Source organism: Homo sapiens, chromosome 14 (assembly GCF_000001405.40).
Source record: "Homo sapiens chromosome 14, GRCh38.p14 Primary Assembly".
NCBI lineage: Eukaryota > Metazoa > Chordata > Mammalia > Primates > Hominidae > Homo > Homo sapiens.
Window position 1 is genome coordinate 94143432 of NC_000014.9, and position 14240 is coordinate 94157671.

At 43.0% G+C, this 14240-nt stretch overlaps 1 long non-coding RNA gene across 3 annotated transcripts; it reads right to left on the reverse strand.

Annotated features, from left to right (window-relative positions):
- Nucleotides 1-1201: 1201 nt before the first annotated feature.
- On the reverse strand, nt 1202-13862 carry LOC105370634 (uncharacterized). Of its 3 annotated transcripts, none has more exons than XR_944168.3 (4): nt 13748-13862; nt 10609-10700; nt 10328-10460; nt 1202-1543 (listed from the first exon to the last, which is right to left on the reverse strand). It is a non-coding gene; the product is annotated as an uncharacterized LOC105370634 (long non-coding RNA). The 3 variants fall into 3 exon arrangements; XR_944166.3 differs by having other exon boundaries at nt 10609-10752; XR_944167.3 differs by lacking the exon at nt 10328-10460 and having other exon boundaries at nt 10609-10752.
- Between the last annotated feature and the right edge of the window lie 378 nt (nt 13863-14240).

The following is a 14240-nucleotide window of genomic DNA, read 5'->3' on the forward strand; positions in this document are numbered from 1 at the left end:
GTATTGCCTCCACCTGCAGGTTTGAGTTGGCTCTGCACTTATGCCTGCATTCCACTGGCGACAGGAAGAAGAGGGTAGGCCCTGGAAATTCTGCTCACATCTAACTACAAAGGATGCGGGGAAATTGGGTCTTTATTCTGGACAGCCATTGTCTCTAGCCTCCTCCTTAAAATAGGAAGGGGCAACAACTACCAGTCTGCACCACAACAATGAAGTTAAATAAATGTCTCATTTCTTTATTTTTAAAATCAAATTAGATATGGCTTAGAGCTGCCATTGTCAAGGTTTGGGACTGGCTGTCAGTCATCATAGGACTTTCTCCAACGCACCCCACTCTGTCCAGGACAACATGGGGACCAACTGGTCTCATGCACTCTGTTGCTCAGTGTCACTAACAAGGGTGGATCCTTCATTCTCTGAGGAGCACTGTGGCTCTGAGGAGGGACTGAAGATGCCCCTCCCTGAAGGCTCAGCCACAGGGGCATATGCTTCTTCTGTGAAGTCTGTTGCCTTCATAGTGTGGCCTCCACGGCATCTTCCCAGCTACCCCTCATCCAGGGCCCAGGGCTTTAGGGCACTACATGGCAATAGGGCTAATTTCTCACCCTTGAAGAACACTCCAAATCTCGGTAAAATTGACACTTAATAATAATCTTAAAAATACATATTTATGGCCGGGTGCAGTGGCTCACGCCTGTAATCCCAGCACTTTGGGAGGCCGAGGTGGGTGGATCACGAGGTCAGAAGTTCGAGACCAGCATGACCAACATGGTGAAACCCTGTCTCTACCAAAAATACAAAAATTAGCCGGGCATGGTGGCAGTCACCTGTAATCCCAGCTACTCAGAAGGTTGAGGCAGGAGAATCGCTTGAACCCGGGAGGCGGAGGTTGTAGTGAGCCCAGACTGTGCCACTGCACTCCAGCCTGGGCGATAGACAGAGACTCTGTCTCAAAAAAAAAAAAAAAAAAAAAAAAAAAAAAAAAATATATATATATATATATATATATATATATATATATATATATATATATATATATTTAAAATAGTCTTATAAAAAATATATCCAGAGGAGCCTCAAGGAACCTGAACAACCTATGACATTTGACAAAAAAAGCCCGAAACATGGTTAGGTTTAATATTCAGAAAGTAGGTGTCTCAATTAGGGTCTTGGCAAGAAACAGATGGCAGAGTCAATCTGGGACATTTCAGGAGAATTTAATGAAGGGAACATTTACACAGGCAAGGACAGGTGTGGGGGAGCCAAAAAAGCAGTGAATACTTTGGGGCTGGCAACCTCGGGGAGCCTGGGGGAGTGAGGGGGTGGGGCTGGTCACATAAGGATTTGGAGAGGGAGAGAGCTGTGAGGAGGGGCTTCAGGCCCTCAGCAGCCCACAGAGAAGGCACTGGAAAAACACAATACCCTGACAGCATGCTCCTGCCTCCTCCTGTCCCCTCTCAGTGTTCCTCCTTCCTTCTTAGCTGAAGCCAACAGGAAGTCAGAGGTCAGGTGGCCTCCTGATGCAATCCCTGGAAGACAACCCCTGTGGACAGAGATGGCACAGAGTGGGGTTGGGAGGGACCTGTGGAGGCATCCAACACAGTGGGCGAGGGAGGACAAGGATAGGGGTTAATAATGGCCAACATGTTCACAGGGCTGGCTCTGTGACAGGAATTATTCTAAGGCCCTTTCATAGGATAACTCATCTAATTCTCTCAGGGCCACAAGCAAAGGACACATAGAGTGAGGCATTCCAGGGAGGCATTCCAGGGAACCTTTTTTTTATGAGCTAGGGTCTCACTGTCACCCAGGCTAAAGTGCGGTGGTACAATCACAGTTCACTACAGCCTCAATCTCCTGGGCTCAAGTGATCCTCTCACCTCAGTCTCCTGAGTCGCTGGGACTACAGGTGCATACCACCATGCCTGGTTATTTTCCCTTTCTCTGTCTCTCTCTCTCTCTCTCTCTATATATATGTATATATAATTTATATATAATCTTAAAAACATAGTGAGACCCTGTCTTTAAATATATATATTTAGATATATATATCTAAATATATATATTTAGATATATATATCTAAATATATATTTAGATATACATATCTAAATATATATTTAGATATATATATCTAAATATATATATTTTAATATATAATACATATATATTTATATATTTTATATGATAATATATATAATATATAATATACATATTTAATATATAATATATATATTTTAATATATAATAAAATATATAAATATATATATTTAAAAACATAGTGAGACCCTGTCTTTAAATATATATGTTTAAAATAAATATGTAAACATACATATTTAAAGACAGGGTCTCATCATGTTGCCCAGGCTGGTCTTGAACTCCTGGGCTCAAGTGATCCTCCCCAAGTGCTGACATTACAGGTGTGATCCGCCACGCCTGGCCCAGAGAACTTCTGACTGAAAAGATGAGGAAGGGCTTCCTGAGGGGAGGTGGTTTTGAGCTGGGCCCCATGGAGGGAGTGGCTTGAAGAGTAAACACTTGAAAGGCCCAGCAAACAATATCCCTGGATTAAAATGACCATTCATCTCATGAACCAACAATGGCGAGTACCATTTTGTGTGTGCTAGAAGGGAGCAACTGTGTGAGGTAGGTAGGAGGGGTTTGCATGTTCAGGCAGGATTGGGGTAAACAGGAAGTCAGTGCCATTCTGCAACTGCTGCAGCCAGCTGTCTGTCTGTAATTATGACCTTACGGAAGTCCGGCCCAGCAGAAGGAGGACTTACTGCTCATTAACATCAAGGGTGGCCATCACTATTAAGCTCCCTGGGTGCCACTGCATTTATGCCCATTACCTCTAATAATCACCGGAATTTTGCAAGGTAGGCATTATTGTCTCTTTTTTATAGATGAGGAAACTGAGGCCCAGAGAGATTAAGTAACTTGTCCAAGGTCACACAGCTAATAGTTGGCAAAGCTGGGACTCAATTCCAAACGCAGTGAGCTTCCTATTATACTATATTCCCCTGGACATTTAAAAAGGAGACATAAAACACAGAAAAGTGTAGAAGACCAGAATAGACCACGTGCAGAAAGATGGGTGATATGGTTTGGCTGTCTCCACCTAAATCTCATCTTGAGTTGTAATCCCCATAATCCCCCTGTGTTGAGGGAAGGACCTGGTGGGAGGTGATTGGATCATGGAGGTGGTTTCCCCCATGCTGTTCTCATGATAGCAAGTGAGTTCTCATGAGAGCTGGTGGTTTTGTTTTTTTTTTTTTTAATTATGCTTTAAGTTCTGGGATACGTGTGCAGAACGTGCAGGTTTGTTACATAGGTATACATGTGCCATGGTGGTTTGCTGCACCCATCAACCTGCCATCTACATTAGGTATTTCTCCTAATGCTATCCCTCCCTTAGCCCCCCACCCTGCAACAGGCTCTGGTGTGTGATGTTCCCCTCCCTGTGTCCATGTGTTCTCATTGTTCAACTCCCACTTATGAGTGAGAACATGTGGTGTTTGGTTTCCTGTTCCTGTATTAGTTTGCTGAGAATGATGGTTTCCAGCTTCATCCATGTCCCTGCAAAGGACGTGAACTTATCATTTTTATGGTTGCATACTATTCCATGTTGTATATGTGCCACATTTTCTTAATCCAGTCTATCATTGATGGGCATTTGGGTTGGTTCCAAGTCTTTGCTATTATGATTAGTGCTGCAATGAACATATGTGTGCATGTGTCTTTATAGTAGAATGATTTATAATCCTTTGGGTATATACCCAGTAATGAGATTGCTGGGTCAAATGGTATTTCTGGTTCTAGATCCTTGAGGAATTGCCACACTATCTTCCACAGTGGTTGAACTAATTTACACTCCCACCAACAGTGTAAAAGCATTCCTATTTCTCCACATCCTCTCCAGCATCTGTTGTTTCCTGACTTTTTAATGATTGCCATTCTAACTGGCATGAGGTGGTATCTCATTGTGGTTTTGATTTGCATTTCTCTAACCACCAGTGATGATGATCTTTTCTTCATAGGTTTTTTGGCCACATAAATGTCTTCTTTCGAGAAGTGTCTGTTCATATCCTTTGCCCACTTTTTGATGGGGTTGTTTTTTTCTTGTAAATTTGTTTAAGTTCCTTGTAGATTCTGGATATTAGCCCTTTGTCAGATGGATAGATTGCAAAAATTTTCTCCTATTCTGTAGGATGCCCTGTTCACTCTGATGATAGTTTCTTTTGCTGTACAGAAGCTCTTTAGTTTAATTAGATCCAATTTGTCTATTTTGGCTTTTGTGGTCATTGCTTTTGGTGTTTTAATATGAAGTCTTTGCCCATGCCTATGTCCTGAATGGTATTGCCTAGGTTTTCTTCTAGGGTTTTTATGGTTTTAGGTCTTACGTTTAAGTCTTTAGTCCATCTTGAGTTAATATTTGTATAAGGTGTAAGGAAGGGATCCAGTTTCAGTTTTCTGCATATGGCTAGTCAGTTTTCCCAACACTATTTATTAAATAGGGAATCCTTTCCCCATTGTTTTTGTCAGGATTGTCAAAAATCAGATGGCTGTAGATGTGTGACGTTATTTCTGAGGCCTCTGTTCTGTTCCATTGGTCTATATATCTGTTTTGGTACCAGTACCATGCTGATTTGGTTACTGTAGCCTTGTAGCATAGTTTGAATTCAGGTAGCATGATGCCTCCAGCTTTGTTCTTTTTGCTTAGGATTGTCTTGGCTATACGGGCTCTTTTTTAGTTCCATATGAAATTTAAAGTAGTTTTTTTCTAATTCTGTGAAGAAAGTCAATGGTAGCTTGATGGGGATAACATTGAATCTATAAATTACTTTGGGCAATATGACCATTTTCACAATATTGATTCTTCCTATCCATGAGCATGGAATGTTTTTCCATTTGTTTGTGTCCTCTCTTATTTCCTTGAGCAGTGGTTTTTAGTTCTCCTTGAAGAGGTCTTTCACATCCCTTGTAAGGTGTGTTCCTAGGTATTTAATTCTGTTTGTAGCAATTGTGAATGGGAGTTCACTCATGATTTGGCGCTCTGTTTGTCTATTATTGGTGTATAGGAGTACTTGTGATTTTTCACAATGATTTTGTCTTCTGAGACTTTGCTGAAGTTGCTTATCAGCTTAAGGAGATTTTGTGCTGAGATGATGGGGTTTTCTAAACATACAATCATGTCATCTGCAAACAGAGACAATTTGACTTCCTCTCTTCCTATTTCAATACCTTTATTTCTTTCTCTTTCCTGATTGCCCTGGCCAGAACTTCCAATACTATGTTGAATAGGTGTGGTGAGAGAGGGCATCCTTGTCTTGTGCTGGTTTTCAAAGGGAATGCTTCCAGCTTTTGCCCATTCAGCATGATACTGGCTGTGGATTTGTCATTAATAGCTCTTATTCTTTTGAGATATGTTCCATCAATACCTAGTTTATTGAGAGTTTTTTTTTTTCTGCATCTATTGAGACAATCATGTGGTTTTGTCATTGGTTCTGTTTATGTGGTGGATTATGTTTATTGCTTTGTGTATGTTGAACCAGCCTTGCATCCCAGGGATGAAGTGGACTTGATCCTGGTAGATAAGCTTTTTGATGTGCTGCTGGATTTGGTTTGCCAGTATTTTATTGAGGATTTTCGCATTGATGTTCATCAGAGATATCGGCCTGAAATTTTCTTTTTTCGTTGTGTCTCTGCCAGGTTTTGGTATCAGGGTGATGCTGGCCTCATAAAATGAGTTAGGGAGGAGTCCCTCTTTTTTATTGTTTGGAATAGTTTCAGAAGGATTGGTATCAGCTCCTCTTTGTACCTCTGGTAGAATTTGGCTGTGAATCTGTCTGGTCCTGGGCTTTTTTTTGGTTGGTAGGCTATTAATTACTGCCTCAATTTCAGAACTTGTTATTGGTCTATTCAGGGATTCAACTACTTCCTGGTTTAGTCTTGGGAGGGTGTATGTGTCCAGGAATTTATCTATTTCTTCTAGATTTTCTAGTTTATTTGTGTAGAGATGTTTATAGTATTCTGTGATGGTAGTTTGTATTTCTGTGGGATCAATGGTTATATCCACTTTATCATTTTTTATTGTGTCTATTTGATTCTCTCTCTTTTCTTCTTTATTATTCTGGCTAGCAGTCTATTTTGTTAATCTTTTCAAAAAACCAGCTTCCAGATTCATTGATTTTTTGAAGGGTTTTTCGTGTCTCTATCTCCTTTAGTTCTGCTCTAATCTCACTTATTTTTTGTCTTCCGCTAGCTTTTGGATTTGTTTGCTCTTGCTTCTCTACTTCTTTTAATTGCGATATTAGGGTTTTGATTTTAGATCTTTTCTGCTTTCTTCTGTGGGCATTTAGTGCTATAAATTTCCTTCTAAACACTGCTTTAGCTGTGTCCCAGAGATTCTGGTACATTGTGTCTTTATTCTCATTGGTTTCAAAGAACTTAATTATTTCTGCCTTAATTTCAATATGTACCCAGTAGTCATTCAAGAGCAGGTTGTTCAGTTTCCATGTAGTTGTGAGGTTTTGAGTGCATTTCCTAATCCTGACTTCTAATGTGATTGCACTGTGGTCTGAGAGACTGTTTGTTACAATTTCCATTCTTTTGCATTTGCTGAGGAGTGTTTTACTTCCAATGATGTGGTCAATTTTAGAATAAGTGTGATGTGGTGCCGAGAAGAATGTATATTCTGTTGATTTGGGGTAGAGAGTTCTGTAGATGCCTATTAGGTCCGCTTGGCCCATAGCTGAGTTCAAGTCCTGAATATCCTTGTTAACTTTCTGTCCGTTGATCTTCTAATATTGACAGTGGGGGTGTTAAAGTCTCCCACTGTTATTGTGTGGGAACTTAAGTCTCTTTGTAGGTCTCAAAGAACTTGCTTTATGAATCTGGGTGCTCCTGTTTTGGGTGCATATATATATTTAGGATAGTTAGCACTTCTTGTTGCATTCATCCCTTTACCATCATGTAATGCCCTTCTTTTCTTTTTTGATCTTTGCTGGTTTAAAGTCTGTTTTATCAGAGACTAGGATTGCAACCCCTGCTTTTTTTTTTTTTGCTTTCCATTTGCTTGGTAAAGATTCCTCCATCCCTTTATTTTGAGCCTATGTGTGTCTTTGCACGTGAGATGGGTCTCCTGAATACAGCACACCAATGGGTCTTGACTCTTTATCCAATTTGCCAGTCTGTGTCTTTTAATTGGGGCATTTAGCCCATTTAAATTTAAGGTTAATATGGTTATGTGTGAATTTGATCCTGCCATTATGATGCTAGCTGGTTAATTTGCCTGTTAGTTGATGCAGTTTCTTCATAGTGTCAATGGTCTTTACAATTTGCTGTGTTTTTGCAGGGGCTGGTACCGGTTTTTCCTTTCCATATTTAGTGCTTCTTTCAGGAGCTCTCGTAAGGCAGGCCTGATGGTGACAAAATCTCAGCATTTGCTTGTCTGTAAAGGATTTTATTTCTTCTTCGCTTATGAAGGTTATTTTGTCTGGATATGAAATTCTGGGTTGAAAATTCTTTTCTTTAAGAATGTTGAATATTGGCCCCCACTCTCTTCTTGCATGTAGGGTTTCTGCCAAGAGATCTGCTGTTAGTCTGATGGGCTTCCCTTTGTCTCTGACTGCCCTTTCTTTGTCTCTGACTGCTTCCCTTTCTCTCTGACTGCCTTTAACAGTTTTTCCTTCATTTCAACCTTGGTGAATCTGATGATTATGTGTCTTGGGGTTGCTCTTCTCAAAGAATATCTTTGTGGTGTTCTCTATATTTCCTGAATTTGAATGTTGGCCTGACTTGCTAGGTTTTGGAAGTTCTCCTGGGTAATATTCTGAAGAGTGTTTTCCAGCTTGGTTCCATTCTCCCCATCACTTTCAGGTACACCAAACAAACATAGGTTTGGTCTTTTCGCATAGTCCCATATTTCTTGGAGGCTTTGTTTGTTCCTTTTCATTCTTTTTTCTCTAACCTACTGTTCACTCTTTATTTCATTAAGTTGATCTTCAATCCCTGATATCCTTTCTTCCGCTTGATTGATTCAGCTCCCTCAGGGTGGGTTCTGCTGAGCTAGACCACTTGGTTCCCTGGCTTCAGCCTCCTTTTCAGGGGAGTGAACGGTTCTGTCTCGCTGGCATTCCAGGCACCACTGTGGTATGAAAAAAAACTCCTGCAGCTAGATCGGTGTCTGCCCAAATGGCTGCCCACTTTTGTGCTTGAAACCCAGGGCCCTGGTGGTGTGGGCACCCGAGGGAATCTCCTGGTCTGTGGGTTGCAAAGACCGTGGGAAAAGCATAGTATCTGGGCTGGAGTGCACCATTCCTCAAGGCACAGTCCCTCAGAGCTTCCCTTGGCTAGGGGAGGGAGTTCCCTGACTCCTTGTGCTTCCCGGGTGAAGCAATGCCCCAACCTGCTTCAGCTCACCCTCCGTGGGCTGCATCCACTGTCTAACCAGTCCCAATAAGATGAGCCAGGTACCTCAGTTGGAAATGCAGAAATCACCTGCCTTTTGCATCGATCTCACTGGGAGCTGCAGACCAGAGCAGTTCCCATTCCTTTTTTTTTTTTTGAGACAGAGTCTCACTGTGTCACCCAGGCTGGTGTGCAGTGGCATGATCTCAGCTCACTGCAACCTGTTCCTCCCAGGTTCAAGTGATTCTCTGGCCTCAGGTTCCTGAGTAGCCAGGATTACAGGTGCCTGCCACCACACCTGGCTAACTTTTGTATTTTTAGTAGAGATGGGGCTTTGTCATGTTGGCCAGGCTGGTCTTGAACTCCTGACCTCAGGTGATCCACCCACCTTGGCTTCCCAATGTGCTGGGATTACAGGGGTGAGCTACTGTACCTGGCCTCTGATGGTTTTATAAGGCAGTTTTCCCTGCTTTTGCTAACTCTCTCCTGCTCTTGCTAACTCTCTCCTACTGCCATGTGAAGAAGGTCTTTGCTTTCCCTTTGCCTTCTGCCATGATTGTAAGTTTCCTGAGGCCTCCTCAGCCATGCAGAACTGTGAGTCAATTAAACCTCTTTTCTTTATAAATTACCCAGTCTCAGCAGTTCTTTATAGCAGTATGAAAACAGACTTATACAATGGGGGACCCAGGATGGCGGAGGAGAGGAGGGGTAGGATTATCCAAGATAGTTCTAGGAGGAAAGCAGGTGCACATTGTACTTTGAAGGACAAGGTTAATTCCTGTTAGTGGCTAGTGAGAAAAGAGCATGGGCAGTGGGGGAATAGTTTCAGCAAATGTATGCAGGCAGGAGTGAACATAGTTTATAGCACAAGGCAGAGGAAACTATCCTGGTTAGAGCAGGTGGGCTACTTTGGGGAGGGACTTTGCAATAAAACCTCTGGGGGCAAGACTTTGGACTGGCTTCAGTAGGACTTAGGCATCAGCTCAAGTTCTTGAGCAGGAAAGTGAGATGATGAATGTGGTGACTAAGGAAGATTAAAATGCAAGGTACACAGTTCAGTGCCACGGACAGGACTTGAACAATGTACATGACACAGCTATATAGATTAGGTCTTCATAACAAGGGGCTCTCCAACACAGTCATTGTCCAAGTCTCTCCTTTGGCACTAGGTATTAAAACAAAAGGCTGTCATTCAAAATGTAGCTAACACAAAAGGTAGATTTTTTTTTTTTCCCTTTTCTGGCTTAGTGAGTTTAACTGACACTGTATTACTTTTCTGGAAAACTACTGCCCACAAATAAAACCTATGAGTGTTTGTGTGTCCACCACAAAGCTTGTGTAAGGTGCTATGCTATTTTGTCAGTGTTGATGGTGGGTCCCTCTAACAGAGCTCTGCCATCTGCTCCTGAATCCCTCAGCAGGTGCTAGAAAGGTCTGAGGAGCCTCAGGGCATGAATGTCTAGAATTGGCCTGGGTGCCGGGTTCCATGTAGACCTGTAGTAGATGAACTCCTCTTCAGAGACAAGCCGAGAGCGTGGAAGCCGGGTTTCACTTGTTTTTTTATAAAATTGGCAAATCAAACTTTGACTGGTGCAGTGGCTCACGCCAGTAATCCCAGCACTTTAAGAGGCCAAGGCGGGTGGATCACTTGAGGTGAGGAGTTGGAGACCAACCTGGCCAACATCACGAAACCCCATCTCTACTAAAAATACAAAAATTAGCTGGGCATGGTTGTGCACACCTATAGTCCCAGCTACTCAGGGGGCTGAGACAGGAGAATTGCTTGAATTCAGGAAGTGGAGGTTGCAGTGAGCTTAGATGGCACTACTGCCCTCCAGCCTGCGTGACAGAGTGAGACTCTGTCTCAAAAAAAAAAAAAGAAAAGAAAAAACCTTAAACACACGTAAGTGAACTTACCCCCAGGGCTCAATGAATAAGGGAGTGGGAGAAAGGTGAATCCAGCTGCTCAGGTGCTAAGTGGTCATCTGGGATGGCAGAATAGGTGACAGTGCAAACCAGTGGTTCCTCCATGTCCACCCTGCGAAAGGCTCTGTACCAGGTACGGGAAGATGCAAAGCTGGCTGGGCCCAAGTCCCTGCTCTCAAGTGGGGAAGCCACAGCTACAGCTCCTCAGATGTCACCTCTTCTAGGACCCTTCTATCCCATTCAGGTGCCTCACTGGGACCCCACAGGCTCACCTGTTGATACTGAGCACGCTGCTTGCTGCACTGGATGGTCATTTGCTGACTTCTGTCTTCCTATGCTCCTTCTATTGCATCACTGCTGGGACCTATGTTTTACACAATTGACTGTCCGGTGAAATAGGGGAAGTGAATTTAAATCTAGGTGAGAGGGCGAATGAAAAATTTTGAGGTGCACTTGAAAAAAGCCAAACTCATACAAATGGAGAGTAGAAGAATGGTTACCAGGGGTCAAGGGGTTGGAGAAATAGGGAAATGTTAGTCAAAGCGTACAAACTTGTAGTTAGTTCCAAGATGAGTAAGTTCTGGAGACTTAATATACAGCACAGTGACTATAGTTCATGTATACCTGAAATTTGCTAAGGGAGTTGATATGGTTTGGCTGTGTTCCCACCCAAATCTCATATTGAATTGTTGTTCCCATAATCCCCACATGTCATGGGAGGGACCCAGTGGGAGGTAATTGAATCATCAGGGTGGTTACCTCCATGCTTTTCTCTTGATAGTGAGTGAGTTCTCATGAGATCTGATGGTTTTATAAGGGGCTTTTCCCCACCTTCACTCTGCAGTTATCCTTGCTGCTGCCATGTGAAGAAAGATGTATTTGCTTCCTCTTTTGCCATGATTGTAAGTTTCCTGAGGCCTCCCCAGCCTGCAGGACTGTGAGTCAATTAAACCTCTCTCTTTTATAAATTACCCAGTCTTGGGCATGTCCTTACAGCAGCATGAGAATAGACTAATACAGTCAATTTGTACCAGGAGTGGGGTCCTACTATAAAGGTACTTGAAAATGTGGGAGCGACTTTGGAACTGCACAACACGCAGAGGTTGGAACAGTCTGGAGGGCTCAGAATAAGATAGGAAAATGTGGGAGAGTTTGGAACTTCCTAGAGACTTGTTGAATGGCTTCGACCAAAATGTTGATAGTGATATGGACAATAATGTCCAGGCTGAGGTGGTCTCAGATGGAGATAGGGAACTTGTTGGAACTGGAATAAAGGTCACTCTTGCTATGCAAAAAGACTGGTGGCATTTTGCCCCTACCCCAGAGATTTGTGGAACTTTGAACTTGACAGAGATGATTTAGACTATCTGGTGCAAGAAATTTCTACATGGCAAAGCATTCAAGAAGAAGCAGAGCATAAAAGTTTGGAAAATTTGCAGCCTGACAATGTGGTAGAAAAGAAAAACCCATTTTCTGGGGAGAAATTCAAGCCTGCTACAGAAATTTGCAAAAGTAATGAGGAATCCAACGTTAATCACCAAGACAATGGGGAAAATGTCTCCAGGGCATGTCAGAGACCTTCATGGAAGCCCATCTCATCACAAGTCTGGAGGCCTAGAAGGGAAAGGTGCTTTCATGGACCAGGCCCAGGGCCCCGCTTCTCTGTGCAGCCTCAGGACATGGTGCCCTGCATCACAGCTGCTTCGGCTCCAGCCATGGCTAAAAGCGGCCAAGGTACAGCTCCAGCCATTGCTTCAGAGGGTGCAAGCCTTAAGCCTAGGCAGCCTTCACATGGTGTTGGTTCTGGGGGGCACAGAAGACAAGAATTGAGGTTTGGGAACCTCTGCCTAGATTTCCGAGGATGTATGGAAATGCCTGAATGTCCAGGCAGAAGTTTGCTGCAGGGACAGAGCCCTCATGGAGAACCTCTGCTAGGGCAGTGTGGAAGGGAAATATGAGATTGGAGGCCCCACAGAAAGTCCCCACTGGGACACTGCCTAGTGGAGCTGTGAGAAGAGGGCCACTGTACTCCAGACCCCAGAATGGTAGATCCACTGACAGCTTGCACCATGTGCCTTGAAAAGCCACAGGCACTCAATGCCAACCTGTGAAAGCAGCTTGGAGTGGGGGGTGCACCCTGCAAAGCCACAGGGGCAGAGCTGCCTAAGGCTGTGGAAGCCCACCTATTGCATCAGTGTAACCTGGAGGTGAGACATGGAGTCAAAAGAAATATTTTCAAACTTTAAGGTTTAATGACTGTCCTATTAAATTACAGACCTGGGTGGAGCCTGTGGTCCTTTTGTTTTGGCCGATTTCTCCCATTTGGAATGGCTGTATTTACCTAATGCCTTTACCCCCATTGTATCTAGGAAGTAACTAACTTGCTTTTGATTTTACAGGCTCATAGGAGGAAGGGACTTTCCTTGTCTCAGATGAAACTTTGGACTTGGACTTTTGAGTTAATGCTGGAATGAGTTAAGACTGGGGGACTGTTGGGAAGGCATGATTGTGTTTAGAAATGTGAGAACATGAGATTTGGGAGGGGCTGGGGTGGAATGACAATGGTTTGGCTGTGTCACCACCCAAATCTCAACCTGTAGTTCTCATAATCCCCATATGTTGTGTGAGGAGCCCGGTGAAAGGTAATTGAATCATGGGGCTGGTTACCTCCATGCTGTTCTCATTATAGTGCATTCTCATGAGATCTTATAAGGGGCTTTTCCCCACTCCCCTTTGCTCTGCACTTCTCCATGCTGCTACCATATAGGAATAGATCTTATAGATACCTTAATTAGCTTGATTGTGTAATCATTTCACAATGTATATATATTTATCAAAAATCACATGGTCCATACAATTTTTATTTGTCAGTTATATCTCAATAAAGCTGGAGGAAAATAATTTGGAGTTACCTTGGGACCATTTGCTTTCCTAAGAGAAGTGATTCACAAAACATTCTCCAGCAGCTCAGAAGGAAGCCACCTAGAGTGTTTCTGGACTCCAGGGTGGTTGTGGGACTCTGGGAAACTACAGCCACCAACAGGTGCATGGATGCCCAGCTGTCTGGACCAGATGGACAGTGGGTCAGAACTACTAGGAGGAAACGCCAATCACTTCTTACCCTCTCACTCCTCAGGGAGGAGAATGCCACCATAATCCCAATGGCCTTGGTCCTCCTTGGGCTGGGAGTGGGGAGTGGCTTAGGATGATGGTGACGGCCACTGTGTAAATATTGCCCCTCACTCTACTGGTCAGTGTACATTATGGCACCAAGTCTTAGGTTCTCATACTTGACCAGGTGACAACACGGTATTTGACAAGGAAAAAGACAAAAGATGATAGACTGCCACCTGGTTTAAGTGTGGTCATTGGTGGGCTTCTGTGTATTGTCACACGAAAAATCATATTTACCTCCTTCCTCCATATGCTCTCAGTTCTTCCTTGCCCTCTCTGTTCTTTCACCTTATTCTAGAAGACACTTTTAGTTGGCTGGACAATAATAGACTAACTGTATGGGTGATGAAAAATGAAATCTCACATTCCATTCTCTAATGTTAAGTTCACTCTATTATGTTGGCATAATGAGTTGACACAAGAAACAGAGTGCTCACACACTCATACCAGGCAGTAGTGGTTACTTAGCAACAAACTGGAAACTGTGTTAAGTAGGTCTTGTTTGTGTCCAGGTTCATGTGCTATAAAGAGCTGGAGTCACTGTTGAATGTGGATGGACATTTTGTGCATGCATTGAGTTCTCCAGGTTCTATTGCAATGTAGTTACCTAACAAAGAGTTTGAAAGGCTGTAGTATTCCTGAAACTGTTTCATGGTTCTAGAGCTAATTTTAAGAGGAACTAATCTTATCTGCTTATACTTGTCATTAATATACTCTTTGAGTTAGAACA